This window comes from Homo sapiens, chromosome 2 (genome assembly GCF_000001405.40).
Source record: "Homo sapiens chromosome 2, GRCh38.p14 Primary Assembly".
Lineage (NCBI taxonomy): Eukaryota > Metazoa > Chordata > Mammalia > Primates > Hominidae > Homo > Homo sapiens.
In genome coordinates, this window is record NC_000002.12 from 28324034 (window position 1) to 28343674 (window position 19641).

The 19641-nt window shown below is 49.1% G+C and overlaps 1 protein-coding gene across 14 annotated transcripts in view, besides 2 other annotated features; it reads left to right on the plus strand.

The window, feature by feature from the left end:
• BABAM2 (BRISC and BRCA1 A complex member 2) overlaps positions 1-14868 on the plus strand; it is a 450193-nt gene extending 435325 nt beyond the window's left edge. For 8 of the 14 annotated variants that reach the window (NR_137438.2, NR_137437.2, NM_001329112.1 and 5 more), the window contains one exon: positions 14417-14868. Coding sequence is in view for 8 of the 14 variants with exons in the window: in NM_001329112.1 (NP_001316041.1) it covers positions 14417-14480 (64 nt within the window). In the remaining 6 variants the exon portion in view is untranslated. Of the gene's footprint in view, positions 1-3194; positions 3415-14416 lie in introns of all 14 variants that reach the window. The other 6 variants (NR_137439.2, NM_001329113.2, NM_001329114.2 and 3 more) reach the window with 3 other exon arrangements.
• Positions 12035-12235: a silencer, noted in NCBI's record as "peak3639 fragment used in MPRA reporter construct". NCBI's record gives its function as "represses an SCP1 promoter by STARR-seq MPRAs in K562 erythroleukemia cells {active_cell/tissue: K562}" and the evidence as "EXISTENCE:reporter gene assay evidence [ECO:0000049][PMID:32103011]".
• Positions 15937-16556: an enhancer, noted in NCBI's record as "H3K27ac-H3K4me1 hESC enhancer chr2:28562837-28563456 (GRCh37/hg19 assembly coordinates)". NCBI's record gives its function as "activates a minimal SCP1, AML or CMV promoter by ChIP-STARR-seq in naive H9 embryonic stem cells {active_cell/tissue: H9 hESC(naive)}" and the evidence as "EXISTENCE:reporter gene assay evidence [ECO:0000049][PMID:30033119]".

Consider the following 19641-nt stretch of genomic DNA (forward strand, 5'->3'; position numbering starts at 1 on the left):
GAGTGAACAGCACCAGTCAATACCTGTAGACACACAGAGCTACCAGAGGGAGGGCCATCTAGGGGGTTTTGTAGAACAAATGTAGGTGCAATGGGGGTTGGCAGTAAGTAGCCCTCGAAATTCATTACTGAGCTGTTGGCAGCTCTAGGAAAAGTTTAATGGAGGAGACTAAAATACAGCCACAATGAGGTTTGGGATGGGAGAGAACACGAAATCAAAAAATTTTAGAAATTATTTATCTTGCTCCCTTACTGCATAGATGAGAAAACAGAGCAGTGATTCACCACGATATAGCAGAGCCAGGGACAGAACCCAAGGCTCCCGACTCAGTGGACAGTACACTTGCCACTGGAAATCATGGTGGCATGGAAAGAATGTGCCCTTTGGAGTCAAGCAGCTCTGGATTCATAACTAGCATTGCCACCTATTAGCTGTGTGATCTTAGAAAAGTTACTTTGGGCCAGGCATGGTGGCTCACACCTATAATTTCAGAACTTTGGGAGGCTGAGGCAGGAGGATCACTTGAGCTCAGGAGTTTGAGACCAGCCTGGGCAACATAGTGAGACCCGTAACATAGCAAGACCCCATCTCTACAAAAAAAAAAAAAATTAATTAGCTGGGCGTGGTAGTGCACTCCTGTAGTCCTAGCTACTCGGGAGGCTGAGGCAGGAGGATCACTTGAGCCTTGGAGGTCGAGGCTGCAGTGAGCCAAGATTGCACCACCACACTCCAGCCTGGGTGACAGAGTGCAGACAGAGAGAGACCTTGTCTCAAGAAAGAAAAGAAAAGAAAACTTACTTTCCATCTCTGATCGTAGATTTATTTTTGGCAAAAATAGAATCACCTGCCTGGTAGTAAGCCTGTTAGAAGGAGTAAATATAAAATAATACACATGAAAATAAGTAGCATGATATCTGGCATGTAGTAGGCACCTCCCTTTCCTTATACTCATGGCTTCCAGACTTTTTTTTTTAACCACAATCTACAAGATATTTTACATTTGAATCCAGTATATATAACTAAAACAAAAGTGCCACATACAGTGCACTCTGATTTTATTTCACTTTATTTTAATGCTGCTCAGAACCCACTAAATGGATTTTGTGATCCACTGTTTGAACAAGCCTTCTTTACACCATGTGTGGATATCATTCATCCACGTTGCATATATGCCCTTCCTTTCCTTCCCTCCCTCCCTTTCTGTAACGGAAGCCTGGGGCCGCAGGGCTACCTGCTGTCAGCATGTGCAGGGCCCGAGCTGGTGCAGTGTGGAGTGATCCCTGCAGCCCAGCAGAGCAGATGCATCTCCTCCTCCTGTGCTTGCCCCCAGCCTCTCTACTGCATGATTACAGAAGACTTGTAAGGCCCCCTCCTGCCAGACGTTCTGTCATCTGCCAGCCTGCATGGAACTTCCCCACACCCTACCCCAGCAGAGCCCACCTGAAGTTCCTGTTGTGAGAATTACTCTTGTTACCAAAGGCCATTGTCTCCAGAAGGCCACTGTACCCCAGCAGGGAGAGTGGAGCTTGGACACCCTCTCCCATTGAGTAGTTTCTTCTTTGGGAATTGCTGCTTTTCTGTCTGAAAGCCCAGAGAGCCAGGTGTCTGCGGTGTGATTTCAGCTGTCAGGGGGATAAGGGTGAAGAGAGGAGGGACCATGGCCATCTTGCTGCCCCTCCCCCACATCCTCAAACACCCAGCCAGGGGGGTGAATGTCCCAGAGTGTTGGGTGACCAAAAGCTGTGTCCAAAAGCCAGCATGCAGGGGCCTGAGCACCTGTGGAAGCCATGAGCTCTGGCCTCTGGATGCTGAGATCTGGTGGAAGAAAGTGAACTTACAACCAGGCAAATAACACTTCAAAGCCCTAGAGAGACTCAGGGGAGGGGAAGGTTAGAGGCCTCAAGGAGTTGATCTCCTAAGTGTTCCTGAGGCCCTCCTTTGGGAGTCCTGCACTTTGCTGTGGAGGCTGATGCCTGACCATGCTGCGCACAAACCTCGGAGCACTGTTCCAGCTGGGGTGTGACTTGGGGCCTGGACCCACATTCCAGGTTCAGCTCTGCTGGGTCCCTGGGCACTTCCTCTTTCAGGGTCACCCTTTGGTTTTTCCCCTTTCGATGACTAAAAAGTGGAGGGTAATCTGTGAGCTTGGTGGTGACTCACCACCATCCGACAGGCGGCCCACTTTTCCCAGCAGGTGAGCTGCGTGAGTAGCCCTCCTCCTGGCCGGGACTGTGGTGAGCTCCCTGCACCCCACCCCAGGCAGCCACGTGGCCATCAGCACATCATGGTCTGTGCTGAGCGCCTGCTCTTGCAGCCCTGGGCAGAGTGAGCAGAGGACTCACCATCTGGGCACACCAGGCAGGTGCAGATGGGGAGACAAGATAAACCCAGGGCTGGGGCTCTTCTCTGGGTTCCCAGGCCCCAGGCAGCAGCACATTCCTTAGCCCCCCACACCCACCACCTGGCCTCGTTCCCAGCCCCAGCCCAGCCAGGTGCACCCATCTTCCCAGCCTCTCTCAGTGCCACACAGCCATTCCTGCCTCTCATCAAGCAGGTTATGATGGGCACGGCAGTCTGAGAGGGAGGGGGATGGAGAGGACTGGCTCACGCTCCGCCTACTAGCTCTGGGGCCTCAGGTCAACCCCCTGGGCAGGCAGGCATTCATTTAGCACCAAATTGACATTCATCTTCTGGGAGCTTCTGACAGGGTGAGCACCAAGGGCACTAAGGGTGAACCATCCCCAAATTCTGCCCTCTAGGCACTTACAGGGATGACCTATGCTAACGTGCCATTAGGATACGCAGTGTCACAGGAACCATCCTAACCTCCCGCCCTTAGTCTCCCCTTCCCCTTCCTTGTAATGTTTGACCTCGGCAGTTTCCTTTTTCCTTCTATTAATTACAACATTCTATCATTCTAAAGTATATCTTAAGTAAGCCAAATGCTTGCATTTGAGAAATATTTATTGAGCTGGTGAGTGTTGGACACTATGCTCCAGGCTGGGGATGCAAAGATGGATGAATACGACCCATGGGCTTTGCCCTCAGGGAGCTTCTTCCAGGGTGTGAGAGAATGGTTGGTATGTGTAGATGCGTGCATACATCTGTGATGAACGCCAGAGAAAGAAGCTGGTCCCATGGCCGGTGGAGGCTCAGGAGCCCATTAGGACTACCCTGTCCCTCCCTCCATTTAGCCAGCTGGCCCTCCCTTCTCCTCCTCCTTCTCATCTGCTGCACCAGGGGATGCCAAGGGAGCAGAGATGCCTGCAGCCCGTGGGAGCAAGTCCTGGCCTTTGCAGTTGCAAAAACTGGCTGCAAGCTGCTCCAGCCCCAGAGGAACTGGCCAAGCTCCAGAGGGCCTCCTTGGAGGGCCTCAGAGGGAGAGAGAACTGCTCAGTAATTTTGATCACTTTGGTAAGTATTTAAAAATACCCTGTGATTTAGCAGGAACCAGAATTCATCCCAATACTTTGATGTCTAGAAATGGATCTCAGTCAGTTGTTGTTGAAGTCCTCCTAAAACGGCATTTGATTTAATTCAACACATACTGAGACCACAGTCAGCCTTCTCACAGGCGAGGAGGCCGAGCTGTATAAATTGTAGTCTAGACACCAATCTAAATATCTCAAACGCAAGGCAGACATAGCCCAGCCTGAGGTTGGAGGCCCGGCATGCTGTGGAATCGAGTAGAGGGGAGATTGATTCCAGCTGAGGGCAAGGGCCTCTGCCTGAAGCTGTGAGCATGTGGTACTGTGTTCCCACTGCGATATCAAGCCTTTGCATCTCAAGTTTGTTAATTTCCTTGTTTTGCAAGCTTAGACCCCCTGAAAACAGACCAGGCATGCTCAGGGGTTGGCGCATTTAGCAAGATTGACTGTGTACATGAACCAGTTACAAGCACTTGTTTGTTCCTAAAGCCCACACCCGAGAGCCAGGCTGCCATCGCCCGGGGCATAATTACAAAACAAGCTCCCATCGTGCCAGTCACTCACTCACCAAGGCACCCAGAATTGGATGGCAGTTGTCACAGGGGCCTTTGGAGGGTTTGGGGTGAAGGACATTGAAACAGAAGCAGGTCTCTTTGTAGCCATCCTGTTGTGAGGATGACCCTTTGACACGAGGCCCTTTGACACGAGGCGAGTAACCCCAAGTGAGTCAGAATTTACAGTGGCGGTTCAGGACAATGAGGACAAGGCAAGACCACGAGGCATGATTAGCAGGACTTGTCTTACACTATTTACAGGACTGCTTTGATTTTCAGACCACAATCGGTTTTCATATGACTGATTAAAAACATGTGCCAGTTGAAGTCACAGCTGCAGAAGAAAACTGGAAAAAGCAGTGAGCCTTAGATGTTGGAACTTGCCTCTATTTGCAAAAATGACCTCTGACTTGATTTATGCCCTTGATTTCCTGACAGTGAGGGCTGTGTCCCTGAACCACTTCTCCTACCACACCCCACCCTACCACCACATTGGCCTGACTCTAGCAAACATCATGAGGCTCATCTTACAATTACCCAAAGAAAAGCATGTTTGAATTCCAGAATTCAAGTCCTGTTTTGGAAGAAGGCAACTGTTAGGCTCTTGCCAAATAAAAAGTTCCAAGTGAAGGAGGCTAACAGCAACAAGACCACAGGGTCTCGTCCACGGGGCCGGGCTCTAGTGGCACTGGGGTTGGAGTGACATTGGCAGGTATCTTAACTAAACTTGCTAAGCTTCTGTTTTCTCTCCTGCAAAATGGGGAGCATGACCCCTGCCACACCCAGTAGTGTTGTGAGCACCACCTTTGCAAAGCTTAACTGCCTTAGGTGCTCTCTCCCCGCTGCCAGTCCCCAACCTCTTTGGGTTGTATATTCTGTGTTTTGTTTTCATTTATTTAAAGCTATATTGATTCAGTTTGTCAGACGTCTATTTTATGGATTTTTATCCTTTTGAAAAGATCTATTGAATCAATAAAGCATTGTAATTCCAGTAGGAAAGAACCCTTTAGATGAGACTTCGTTGAACAAAGTTTCCTACTGGCCTCAACCCCAAGGCCTCTGAGCATTTCCCTGATAGCTCCCTGTCTTAACTTTCTTCAGTCTCCTGATTTCCCCTTCTCTAGAACCCAACCATTATGTCATTTTCCAGGCATTACCCCTGATAACTTATGCTTCCTGAGCTAGAGGGCAGAGGGGTGGCCGAGAGGAACAGGCCTTCATGTCCCCCGACAAAACTGTCTATGGCACTTTTTGCTCGGGGCTCTGCAGCGTTCACTAACCCTACCCCATTTGTATAAAACTATGCAGATGGAAACGATCCAATAATAACCCAACTACTCCCACCACCTTTGCAGCATTACCACCTCCTACTGAAACTTGCATTTGTGTGGGGCCCTGGGCTTGGTACTTGATACACATTTCCATTCTCCTCACAACCTCCTTGAAAAGAGGTGCTAGTCAATAAAAAATGATAAAGGGGCTATCACCACTGACCCCACAGAAATACAAACAACCATCAGAGAATACTATATAAACACCTCTGTGCAAATAAGCTAGAAAATCTAGATGAAATGGATAAATTCCTGGACACATACACCCTCCCAAGACTGAACCAGAAAGAAGTTGAATCCCTGAATAGACCAATAACAAGTTCTGAAATTGAGGCAGTAATAAATAGCCTACCAACCAAAAAAAGCCCAGGACCAGATGAATTTACAGCTGAATTCTACCAGAGGTACAAAGAGGATCTGGTACCGTTTCTTCTGAAACTATTCCAAACAATTGAAAAGGAGGGACTTCTCCCTAACTCACTTTATGAGACCAGCATTATCCTGATACCAAAACCTGGCAGAGATACAACAAAAAAAGAAAATGTCAGGCCAATACTCCTGATGAACATCAGTGTAAAAATCCTCAATAAAATACTGGCAGACTGAATCCAGCAGCACATCAAAAAGCTTATCCACCACAATCAAGTCAGCTTCATCCCCAGGATGCAAGGCTGGTTCAACATATGCAAATCAGTAAATGTAATTCATCACATAAACAGAAGTAAAGACAAAAACCACATGATTATCTCAATAGATGCAGAAAAGGCCTTCAATAAAATTCAACATTCCTTCATGTTAAAAACTCTCAATAAACTAGGTATTGGTGGAACATACCTCAAAATAATAAGAGCCATTTATGACAAACCCACAGCCAATATCATACCGAACAGGCAAAAGCTGGAAGCATTCCCCTTGAAAACCAGCACAAGACAAGGATGCCCTCTCTCACCACTCCTATTCAACATAGTATTGGAAGTTCTGGCCAGAGAAATAAGGCAAGAGAAAGAAATAAAGGGTATTCAATAGGAAGAGAGTTAATCAAATGGTCTGTGTTTGCAGATGCCATGATCTTATATCTAGAAAACCCCATTGTCTCAGCCCAAAAGCTTCTTAAGCTGACAAGCAACTTCAGCAAAGTCTCAGGATACAAAATCAATGTGCAAAAATCACAGGCATTCTTATACACCAACAGTAGACAAGCAGAGAGCCAAATCATGAATGAACTCCCATTCACAGTTGCTACAAAGAGAATGAAATACCTAGGAATACAACTTACAAGGTATGTGAAGGACCTCTTCAAGGAGAACTACAAACCACTGCTCAAGGAAGTCAGAGAGGACACAAACAAATGGAAAAACATTCCAAGCTCATGGATAGGAAGAATTAGTATCATGAAAATAGCCATACTTCCCAAAGCAATTTATAGATTCAATGCTTTTCCCATTAAACTACCATGGACATTCTTCACAGAATTTTTTTAAAAATTCTACATTAAAATTCATGTGGAACTAAAAAAGAGCCCGTATAGCCAAGACAATCCTAAGCAAAAAGAACAAAGTTGGAGGCATCACGTGACTTCAGACTTTACTACAGTAACCAAAACGGCATGGTACTGGTACAAAAACAGACACAAACCAGTGGAACAGGATAGACATCTCAGAAATAAGGCCGCACATCTACAACCATCTGATTTTCAACAAACCTGACAAAAACAAGCAGTGGGGAAAGGATTCCCTATTCAATAAATGGTGCTGGGAAAACTGGCTAGCCATACGCAGAAATTTGAAACTGGACCGTCTCCTTACACCTCATACAAAAATTAACTCAAGATGGATTAAAGACTTAAATATAAAACCAAAACTATAAAAACCCTAGAAGAAAATCTAGGCAATACCACTCAGGAAATAGGCACAGGCAAAGATTTCATGACAAAAACGTCAAAAGAATTGCAACAAAAGCAAAAATTGACAAATGGGATCTAATTAAACTAAAGAGCTTCTGCACAGCAAAAGAAACTGTCTTCAAAATGAACAGACAACCTACACAATGGGAGAAAAATTTTGCAATCTATCCATCTGACAAAGGTCTAATATCCAAAATCTACAAGGAACTTAAACAAATTTATAGGAAAAAAACAACTCCATTAAAAAGTGGGCAAAGGACATGAACAGACACTTCTCAAAAGAAGACATTTATGCAGCCAAGAAATATATGAAAAAATCTCAACATCACTGATCATTAGAGAAAACCCAAATCAAAACCACAATGAGATACCATCTCATGCCAATCAGAATGGCGATTATTAAAAAGTCAAGAAACAATAGATGCCAGCAAGGCTGTGGAGAAGTAGGAACGCTTTTACACTGTTGGTGGGAATGTAAATTAGTTTGGCCATTGTGGAAGACAGTATGGCAATTCCTCAAAGACCTAGAACCAGAAATATCATTTGACCCAGCAATCCCATTACTGGGCATATACCCAAAGGAATATAAATCATTCTGTTATAAAGATACATGCACGCATATGTTCACTGCAGCACTATTCACCATAGCAAAGACATGGAATCAACCCAGTCCATCAGTGATAGACTGGATAAAGAAAATGTGGTGCATATACACCATGGAATACTATGCAGCCATAAAAAGCAAGGAGATCATGTCTTTTGCAGGGACATGGATGGAGCTATAAGCCATTATCCTCAGCAAACTAACACCGGAACAGAAAACCAAACACATGTTGTCTCTTATAAGTGGGAGCTGAACAATGAGAACACATGGACACAGGGAGGGGAACATCACACACTGGGGCCTGTTGATCGGGGGGCATCAGGATAAATAGCTAATGCCTGCAGGGCTTAATACGTAGGCGCTGGGTTGAGAGGTGCAGCAAACCACCATGGCACACTTTTATTATGTAGTAAACCTAACGTCCTGCACGTGGATCCCGGAACTTTTTTTAAAAAAGAGAAAAAAGAGGTGCTAGTGTCTGAATTTAATAGATGAAGAATCAGGACACAAAAGGGTTAAGTGGCTTGCTCAAGATCACATGGATGATATCTCAGACCATAACTGGGTGGTCATAAGATCATTAAGTAGAAATCATCCTGTTACAGGTGAGGAAATGGAGTCCCAGTTCTGGATGACACAATGAGCCAGGGCCCGGGCTAGAGCTGTGAGTCCTGTGCCTCCTAGTGCAGTGCTCTTTCCACTTCCCCCACTGCCTCCCCTTGACGATGCATGTTGTCCTGGACAGAAGGAGAGCTGTTTGAGGACCAGGCCAACCAACACCCTGCTCTTGGCAGCCGGAGCCATGTGATTCCTAAATACCCTTCTAGGAAGAGCTGCAGCATCATCCCTGGTCAAGCCCTGACCAAAACTGCACACCACACACAAGGAGTACACCTGGTAGGTTTGGGGGCAGAAGACACGCAAGGGCTGGAGGTGCCTCTGGCTACAGAATTTGTCCTTTGATGCCACAAGGATGCCATGAGCAGCTCTAGACTGGATTGCAAAAGACACACAGTGTCCCATGACTTTGGCTGAGTATCCAAGCCTGAGATTGGCCATCTCTGCCTGCGATTGCCAGCTCAGTGTGATCAGTGAGAAGGGAGGGCCTGATCCAAGGAGCCTCGGGAAAGGCTGAACTGAGGACAAGGACCCTAGACCTCTCACAGGTTTCCCGCTTCGGCACACACGCGTTCTTCTGGCTGTTTCCACAGACTCAGAGCCTCTTCCCCTTGGCCCCAGCGGGTACCCATGATAATAGTTGACATCTATTGATCATCTCTTATGCCAGGTACCATGCCAAGCGCTTACCCAGACCATCTCATTCACTCCTCACAAGAACCCTTTAAGGTAGGCAGTTACTCCCGCCTTTTAGATGAAGAAACTAACGCTGCAGTCACTTGCCCTCATGATCAACGAGTAAGGAGTGTGGCCAGGCCTCGAGCCCAGTCCGCCTGGCTCCAGAGCCTGCCCCGCACAGGCTACCCTCACCTTCTACAGCCCACCGGCCTTAGGACCCTCAGTTATGGCACCCTGCTTTGTAGGTGAGGGAGCTGAAGCCCAGAAGAGATTTACCCTGGGCCCAAGGCCCACAAAAGTAGACCCCCTGACTCCTGATTCAGTTCCCTCCACCATGCCATGCCTGTGAGCTGAAGCCTGGGCCAGCCCTGCTTCTGCTCTGAATTCATGGGAAACCTACCCAGTCCTTACGTTTTCTTCTCCTAACTGAGACTCCTGGGTTGGACCGAGTTGTAATTTTATGAAACCCTGAGCAGAGAGACTGAGATCAGTGAAGAGGGACTGAACCTCATTTTGCCCTCAGGCATATTGAGCTCTAATGCCATCTAAAAATAGATTCCCTTACAGTGTGCATTCAGTGAGGAGCTTGACACTCAGGGCCCTCTCCTGTGGGCCCCACTTGGCCAGTTAATGGGGAGGTGAGAAGACTTCACTATCCCCTAGAACACGCTTACACTTTTAAAGCTTACTACATACTTTGTCTCTGGGTCAAAGGTTTTTTCAAAGATGACAGATACCTCTTGCCATTAGCAATCTGTACTCTGGGCAGCTCTCCATTTTCTCTGATAAAAAGTGAAATAAATGAAAACAGCGTTTTAAAAAATCTATAAATGGGTGGGAGCCAGTTGTCATTTTCCCTTTCCCCCTCCTCCCACTCCGTTAACTAACTTAATGAGGATCCAAGTTGAGAGGCACTCGCCGAAAACAGCTGGTAGCATCATGCCTTTAAATAGCCCTCGCCACGCTTCCCCTTGGCAGCACGCAGTTGGCCCTGGCAGGGAAAGCCCAGGACAGAACAGGAAACTTTAGAACTTTCTAAAAAGAAAAAAGCTTGCCTTTAAAACGTGCTCCCTTCTGTGTAAGGAGCTTGCAATGTTGTAGCCCCTTCCCCTAGAAGTTTACAAGGAAAGACTAAGCTGATGAGGCTTGCCTCGGGACCCAGTGTGACTCTGGGCCTGGGGAGGTAAGTGGAGGGCTCCCCGGACCCGACCCCTGCCCAGCTCAGGCCAGCGTCCAGGGCAGCAGTGGCTCCAGCACCATCTGCTCATCAGGCACCTGTGGGGGCTATAGTGCAGCTCAGCTGCAGCCTCTCCCCTTGATGTTCGTAGCTGTAAGGTCAGGGAAGGTGACGTCCTCACCTCTAACTTAGGGAACATTCAGCCCTCCCTGAAAGTGGTACTGGGATGGGCCAGACTCCACAGTGCACATCAGGCCAGAGTCCATGCAGCAGAGGTTGGTGGCAGCCTGTCGATCTCAGACCCTCTGGAGAAGCGGGGCCACAAGGCTCTCTCCGGCCGCACTTCCATGTTGCTGGGGAAATAGCAGCAGGTGAAACATATGGAAGGAATAAGTGGCCCTCACGTCTGGGTGGCAGCCAACAGTTGACTGTCTCCTCCCACACACTGTCCCATGCGAGTGTGGCATCAGGTGGCCTTATCACCCCTACTGTTCGTAAGGGAACAGAGCCCAGGGCTTCTCCTGCCCTGCCCGGCCTTGCCTAGGTCTGGAGCTCTGTCACACCACAGCACCCCTTTTGCATTAAGGGTGACTGTGGCGACTGTGGCATGGTGCCGTTAATGGATAAGGGCTTTGAGGTCCTGAGTGCCAGAGAAGGTGGCGGTTTGGCTGGCTCAGGGCTGTGCTGATCACAAGTGGATGGAAGAGGGTGCTTTTTCTTACTAACTGTTGGCAAAGTTTGAAATTTGAGAATGGACTAAAGTGTTCTTCCTTAGTACCTAAATATTGTACCTGTTCTCTTTCTGGAGCTGCTGTCTCTCCCACCTTCTTTTTTTTTTTTTTTTTTTTTTTTTTTGAGACAGAGTCTGGCTCTGCCGCCCAGGCTGGAGTGCCATGGTGCGGACGTGATCTTGGCTCACTGCAACCTCCGCCTCCCGGGTTCAAGCGATTCTCCTGCCTCAGCTTCCCAAGTAGCTGGGACTACAAGCGCCCACCACCACACCCGGCTAATTTTTATATTTTTAGTAGAGACGGGGTTTCGCCATGTTGGCCAGGCTGGTCTTGAACTCCTGACCTTGGGTGATACACCCGCCTCGGCCTCCAAAAGTGCTGGGATTACAGGCATGAGCCACTGCGCCCAGCCTCTCCCGCCTTCTTAAACAGCTTGTAATGGACATACTGTAACTGCTTCTTGCAAGCTCGTGGTCATCATTAGTTACATTAAAGCCACAGCCCATCACCAAGTGCTTTCTACACTGAGCCAGGCCTAGTGGTCACTGGGAGCAGGATGTGCTCCCGCTTTCCAGGGGCTGGCAGATAAGACCTGTGCACATGGGACAAGTGCCCCAGAAGAAGCACGGACAGTGTGCAGGGAGATGACCTCCTGGGGACCAGGGGAGACTTGATGGAAGCAGGAGTATTTGTCCTGAGCATGAATAAGCCCAGAGGTGGCAAATGGCATGTGTGAGGAAGAGCAAGTAGTCAAATGAGAAGAAGGGAGAGGCAGTAGATCCAGGGCTCGTATCCTGGACCGTGGCCAGCTCAGGGGGGTCTGTGACATCCCCGGGTTGCTGTGGGGCGTCTTACCTGCAGTTTCTCTGAGGAGAGGATCCTTCACTTTCTTAGCTTCTCAAAGGGTCGCATGATCTCAAAAAATGTGATAGAGGAACAGAATAGATTTTCTTCCTAATGACTTGGAGCCAGATAGAGTCATTGAATGCCAGGCTGAGAGTTTGGAGGACATTAAGGTCTTGGTCAGGAAAGGGACAGAGACTCACACTGTAAGAGAATCAGTGTAGCTGCAAACATAGGCAAAGGAGGCCTCATGTCCAGGGGAGAAGCAGCTTCTGCAGCAGTGCCATCGAAAGATAAGACAGGAGCTATGGGAGTCACTACGGATGGAGGGACTTAGCGGCAGGAACCTTGAGGATGAATTCACCGTAGGGGTTTAGGGAGAATGGAAACTGGTTCGGAAGGAAACTGAAGGTTCTGTTACAGAAAACCAAATTGGTCAGAGCATTTTCAGATACATAAAAGTGATGAAAACATCCATTTGGAACACTAGTTTGAGTTACAGAGTGACAGGTAGGGTGTCCCACAGGTGGTTGGAGACGTGGGACTGGAAGTTTGAGGGGAGGGAGGGCTGGGCTAGCGGTGCTGCAGGACCAGGAGTTCCCACCTTGCTCTGTGTGACCCCAAGGATGATGGCGCCTGGGAGTGCCGAAGGAGGGGCAGGGAGAGGTAGAGAGAGGCAGGACAGCTGTGGCACCACATGTCACAGAAGTCACAGGGAAAGAGAGCTTCCAGAGAGAGGAGCTGACGTTTCAGTGCTGCAGAGGCCATGGTGGAGGCCAGCACTGAGAAAGAGCTGGAGCATTCCAAGGCCAGATTGGAAAGAGGGCTGCAGTTGACTTGAAGGGGGCGGGCAGCCGGTGGCACCAGCCGCTGCATTTGCTCTGCTCCAGAGACAACTCCAGGGCCTGTCAGATTGCGTGGGGCTCTTTGCCCTATGGCACAGGATCCCCGGTGAGTGCTCGTGCTTCCTGAGCAGTTTTCTGTTCTCTTCTCACTGCTGCTGTGAATCTGCCTCCTACCCTTGGGTTAGCTCCTCCACTCCAGATTTGCTGCTTCTGATCTCCTGGGAGCTGGCAGCTGGTAGAGCCAGGCTCAGTAGGACCAGATCCTAAATGAAATGGACTGTGGGAGGTTCCCTGTGGGTGAGGCGATGAGACCTTTGCAGTGCTGAGGGTGACAGGTCTTGGTGGCCCTGCCTGGTTCTTGCCATTGCTCTGAGGTGAGATATCTGGACACGTAAGGTGTCACTGTGATTGTGTGGGTGTCGGTGGGGCAGGGCTAGAAGGCAAGCCTGGTGACCAGGAGCACGGGTGCCCACCTCCTTCCTCTGCAGCCCCTCCCTTCTCCTCCCCTCACTTTTCTCCCTCACCTCTCAGCTGACAGCAAGCTGCTGCTGGAAATGCCCCTCCACTGCCCCTTCCCTGCTGCATGGACTGTGGCCCGCGGGACTGCCATTGGTGCCCTGATGTGGGGTTACCCATGTGTCCGTCTCCTCCACACTGCATTCTCCCACACGGCGTGATCCCATGGCTGGGTCACCCCGCCACCCCTGATGCCTTGTACAGTGCCTGACACAGTGTGGGCTCGGCGGGTGCACATCTGAGGTAGAACGTGGCCCTGCTTCCACAGATTAGAAACCTGGATGCCGGAAAGGCCAAACGGGCTGCCCCCGGTCCTGCCACCCCTCTTCCACTGACTGGGAAATGTTCTCTTAACACCCAGCCTAGCTTTCTTTCCAGTAGACCAGACTGCATGTGCGTTTGGAAATAAATGGAGCCCATGAATCATTTAGAAATTATTAGGGCTGGGTGTGGTGGCTCAGGCCTATAATCCCAGCACTTTGGGAGGCCGAGGCAGGAGGATCCCTTGAGGCCAGGAGTTTGAGACCAGTCTGGGTAATGTAGCAAGACCCTGTCTCTGTGAAAAAATGAAAAAACAATTGCTGACATGGTAGCACACACCTATAGTCCTAACTACTTGGGTGGCTGAGGCAGTAGGATCACTTGAGTCCTGGAGGTCAGAGTTACAGTGTGCTGTGGTTGGACCACTGAACTCCAGCCTGGCTCACAGAGTGAGGTCCTGTCTCTAAAAAAATCAAATGTGTTAAAAAACTTATTAGACCCTCTTTGTCTTTATGAAGTCAAAGGTCCAACTGAGTGGAAAATGCAACCTTCCTGATACTCTAGATCACTAAATGACTGCGTGGTTCAATTGCACACACACTGTCTTGTAGCTTGGACCAGGCCCTTGTCTTTGTCCTGAAAAAAGGCAGCCGGACCTAAGTGCAGATATCTCATAGGAATTGGCAGCCAGGAGGGTGCACGTACAGGCCCTTTGAATATTCCTGAGAGATGTCACAGTAGTGAACTGCATGCATCTCCTCGGAAAAATCCGGAGGGCTTTGCCTCAGCAGAGAAGGCAAATCCAACCCAAGATGCATGAACAATAAATAACAACTGTTCTGAGTTAGCTTGAAAGCTCCCAGTTGCACTTTGTTTCAAGTTGTTTGTGCTAACCACAATTTTTTTTCTCCCCTTCTTTCCCACCAGGGCTTATTTCAAAACCTTTGTCCCTCAGTTCCAGGAGGCAGCATTTGCCAATGGAAAGCTCTAGGAAACACCAGTCTTGAGAGGTGGCCAGCCAGACTGCCTGTCCACATGCGTGTCAGCACATACAGCCGCTTCCTGGAAGCCGCCTGGAATGTCTTCACGGCAGCGTTTTGCTCACACAGCAGCTTTTGCACGCCCCAGGCAGCCCCGACTGCTGAAATCCAACTTGAGCTGGCTGGTGGTCCCTGGATCCTAGAGCCCTTCACTTCGGGTTACTCCCTCTTTCTTGCCTCTATTTCTTAGTTGGAAGAAATAAACTCACAAATTATGGTGCAGTAATTTTCCGGGGAAAGTAAAGCCTCAGGAATGCCCACGCCTTTCTTCCAAAGCCTTTGTCTCTGAGACCTCTTAAGTTCTAAGATTAAATGCCCCTCGCTGTTCTTCCTCTGAAACTAGTGTCTTCCCTCTGTGCGTGCATGTGTGTGTTTCATACCCAAGCATTTCCTATCTGGGGCAGTCCTTCACGGCGAGAAGGAGTTACCTGAGTCAATGTGACCAACCTGCTGGGTTTCAGCCACTCATCCAGCCTGACCTAAGGCTGTTGCTCAATAACAAATGGCCTCTAGCACACACAGCCCCACCCGCTGCCATCCATACCCCTCCAGCCCCCTGTGTGGACACCTTGTTCCCAGGCCAGCCCCACACAGTAGGCAGTCATTAAAGTTTGGTGAGTGCACCAACGGCTCTGTCCTTCCGGCTCTCCCCTCTCCATCCCCTCTGGGCCTCTGCAGCACTGTGTGAATTATACACAAAGACAAAGCTTGGGTGTCATGGTTTATCAGAGGAATGTGTCTGCTTTCTGGGCTTGGGGACTGGCAGTTGTGCAGCCAGCCAGGAACAGAGCTGGGGAAGATACCCTGAGCAGGCGACATCTTCCCTGAACTTACTGATCATCACAGCCAGAAGGGTCTTCAGAAGTCATCTCGTTTCTACCCCGTTACTCCCTTCAGTGTACAGAGGACAGAACTAAGGCCCAAGAGTTAAGGAAACATGCAAATTAGAAACAGCAAATTAGGAACAAACCTGGGAACTTGGAGCCAGGCCTCCTTGTACCATCACACACTCGCTTAGCTGAAACACAAGATGGCTACCGTCGGCTTGGCCATATCACCAGGTTTACAGTTTGGTTTAGCATGGTCCTGTCCTGATGGCCTTCCACACAGGGAAGCAGGGCCCACGCACCACCCACAGAGGTGAGGGCAAGAGCTGGCCTGGGTGCTCGACCTGACACCCTCTGGCCTTCCCATTCCAAGGCGAAGCCACTGGCCCCTCCTGCAGGACACACACATGATTTTACAGGGCCTCTCACCTGGTCCCTTAGTTCCCCTCGTGGCTATTGGAGCCCATTTTTACCAGGTGAGCGCAAAAGAGAACCATCCCTGGGCCCTTGTGAAGACTGGTGAGGAGAAGTCGTGCCTCTGCTTCCTGTGTTCTCTGGCACCCAGGAATGTTCTCAGGAGGCTGGAGATCAGCTGGAACAGACCTCCCATCTTGCCTGTCAGCTGGAGGCCTGCCCAACTCTGGGTTTTTTCACCGTGTGGGTACTATGCCCCCTACCCTGAAACTTTGGGAATTCCCAGGACAAGAACAACAGTCCAGTGTCCTATGTCCATATCCCAGCCCTGCCATTAACTGGCTATGTGGCCTTGAGTAAGTCCCTTCCTCTCCATAATATTAATACTAGGAGGGGGCTGGACTGGATTGTGGGCTCAGCTCATCAGATCACCCGGGGAGATTTTTTTAGGAACTACTGCTCTGGTAGTTCCCACTGCAGGCCTGTTGACTTGGAATCTCACTAGCTGGAGCTTAGCCTTCTAGATTTTGATAAAACTCCCCCAGCGATTCTACTGAGCAAGTGATCATGACCCACTAAGCCAGCTGACCACACTGGCACTGCTTCTGACCCTGACCCGCTGAGTGCCCACAAGAAGGTGCCCCTCTACTCAGGGCAGCTGTGTGCTATGCCCCATGTCCCCTCCATCCCCCACTAAGGTGCCATGGCATGGTCACTTAGGATTGCTAGGGGCACCCTCCCCTGATGGAGGGGTACGGATTGGGCTCTACTGTGCACAGCACCAAGAGTTGACTGAGCCCGGACTTGCTTCTGAGCTGCAACTGGGTCTGAAGCAAGCCCAGGCTCAGTCAACTCTTACTGGTTCCACTTCTAGCAGATGGTGGTTGGCACTGTGGGAGGGGGTGAGGTCCTGTGGACTGGTCGTCCCCTCAGCATTTCAAATAAGCATTCAGCAGTGACAGCAGCCAGTAGTGGGCAGTGTGGTCTGGGAATGTCATCCTCCTGCCCCTGCCAGCCCCTGGGGGCCCACAGACCCAGAAAACGAATGAGACCCTGCCCATCAGCGAAGCACACAGTCTAACTCAGAAGTTTTGCCACACACATTAGCTCACACAGCTTTACAGCAGACCTGGGCTGTGAGCAACTGAATAGGGTTGCTTTTGTTCCACAGATGAGGAAACAGAAGATGAGAGAAGTTAAGTGAGTTACCCACGATCACCGGCCGGTCAGGGCCGGAGCCAAGACCAAATCCAGGCTCTTGGCTCCCCTCCAGCAACAATTCTCACGTGTGTCGATACTCTCGTGAACAAACTGAAGCTTATTTTTTTATTTCCCAGTGAAGGATGATGGACGTTATATAGGTTTGTGAAGATGGAAATTTATGATTATTTTTAAAAGACTTTCAGCTTCCTTGCCACAGGGGAGGATTTGGGCTGGTTTTCTTAGAGGGGATTCAGCACAAGGTGACAGTCACCACTGTATGTTTCCAGAACCAGGGACTCAAACACCAGGGTTTGCGTGATTTTATCTTTACCCCGCAACAGCAACAGAAGCCGGTGGCGCCTGTAAACGAGTGAAGGTCACCTGTATATTTGTAAATACTTCCTGCCGGTTCAGCCTGTCATCGAGCATCGTACCTGCACACAGAGGGCAGCCCAAGACTAATTAGTAAATGGCTATAAAATGCTTTGAAGATGAAAAGAACCATATGTGACAGCATATTATTAATACTTAGTAAATCCTGTCTCCGGCTTACTCAGCCCTTGTAATTTCAGTTGAATCTCTCTTGCTTAGCACTGATGAGGAAAAGGACTCACACGTGTTTACCAGCAATACTTGGATATGATCAAGCATCTGTGAGGCCCCGAGAAGGAGGGGCAAGGGACCCTGGTTAGCCAATGCTCAGCTTCTTCCAGCAGCCCGGCTTCCTGAGGACCCATCGCCTACAGCCAAATGACCCTTTTTTTTTGTTTTGTTTTATTGAGAGGGACTCTGGCTCTGTCGCCTAGGCTGGAGTGCAGTGGCACCATCTCGGCTCACTGCGACCTCCGTCTCCCAGGTTCAAGGGATTCTCCTGCCTCAGCCTCCCGAGTAGCTGGGATTACAGGCACACGGCTGTAATCCACCACGCCCGGCTAATTTTTGTATTTTTAGTAGAGACGAGGTTTCACCATGTTGGCTGGGCTGGTCTTGAACTCCTGACCTCAGGTGATCCGCCCACCTCGGCCTCCCAAAGTGCTGAGATTACAGGCAGGAGCCACCACGCCCAGCCTCAAATGATGCTCTATTAAAGCTCATTTTCTTGTGGAGACATGAACTAGAAAGAATATGAAGTTGAGGATGAGAGAGGAAAAAAAAGAGAAGGACCTTGGTTTGTACAATTTGCCAATTTCTATGGTGTAAATACTCCCCCCATGATGGACTGCAGGCCACCAATGTGAGGTCACTGGACGCAGAGTTGGGAGGAGCAGGGAGGGTCATCGTGGGAGCCTCTGCTGGAGTGAGCTGGCCCCAATGTCTGTCTTTACTTAATCTGAGTTTTGTTATCCTCATCTATAAAATGGGAATAAATATCTGCCTCCCGGGGTTGTGAGAATTAAATAAGAAAAGTACCTAGAGCACCATGTGCAGTGCTTGGCACACAGTAACATTTGACAAACAGTGGCTATTATTACCGCAGACCAGAAAAAAGATTTTCTGATGTTGACTTTGGCCTTTTTCTAAAAAGTCAGAATGTCCCTGTTAAAAAGTCCTGCCAATGAATTTGGCCTTTGGAAAAGTGACCCTGTCTGGATTACCAGGAAGACAAAATGATGAGTCATCTTGAATTTTAACGGATAAGAGATGCGATGTATTTGTGGGGGTTCCCCACCCCCCACGCTGGTCTTGCTTAAGCTCTCGGCAGGACTTCAGGCTCTGAGCAGTGCTGGAGAAGAAACAACCCACTGACCTGTTTATTCGCCCCGGCCCCTGCTTTCCCACAGGCAAGGAAATCAGAGCAGCGTGGTTCACTTTTGCCTCTGACTGGGTTTCAGTTCCTGACAGCTCCACGCTCTTGGAGTTGCGGCTGACTTGCCGGAGGGACGACTGCATTTGGTTTGCCTCTTGCTCAGGCCTATAAATACAACTATCCCAGAGCCTGCCCCAGTTCATGGGGACCAGCCTGTCCCACAGTTCCTAATGTGAATGTTAAGAACATCATCTAATGGTAATAGGACATCTCATTCTATTAATGGCATCATAGCTAATTCATTGGTGCTCGAAAAAATTAAAATACAACCTTTGCCTTTTTTTATGCATCTACGGTGCTTACGTGCAGGTCCAGTACAAACACTAACTAGAAATCGGGTGTGGGGTGCACCCATCGCCTTGTGTAATCCTCGAAACAACTAAATGAAGTAGGGGTTATTGTCTTCATTTTATAGATAAAAACATGGAACCTCAAAGGTGTTAAATAAATAACTTACCCAAGGACAGGAAGCTGGCATAATTCACTCATCACCATCCTACCTTCTCCCCCTTCCCCTCTCCTTTCTTTGCTTCCCTCCCTTCCTCTTTTTTTATTTCACAAGGAAGTGAACCAGGTCCCTCTGTTTCTTTCCACTTCTGTTATCCAGCTTCCCCAAATGAGAGCTTTATTGAGCATCTAATGTATACAGAGCCCTGATAAGACATTTACACACTGCTTTTTGCCATTTTCCCTGTGAGGAGAGGGGCTTGGAGTAGCTGGGTCTGGCCAGATCACACGAAGTGGGTGTCAAACCCTGGTCAGCTGGGTCCAAGGAATTCTGTGGGGTCACATGCAACAAACTAAAAAAGACTTGGAAGTGGTCTTCGTATATGTGGATGAGTATATCTATATGGCTACACA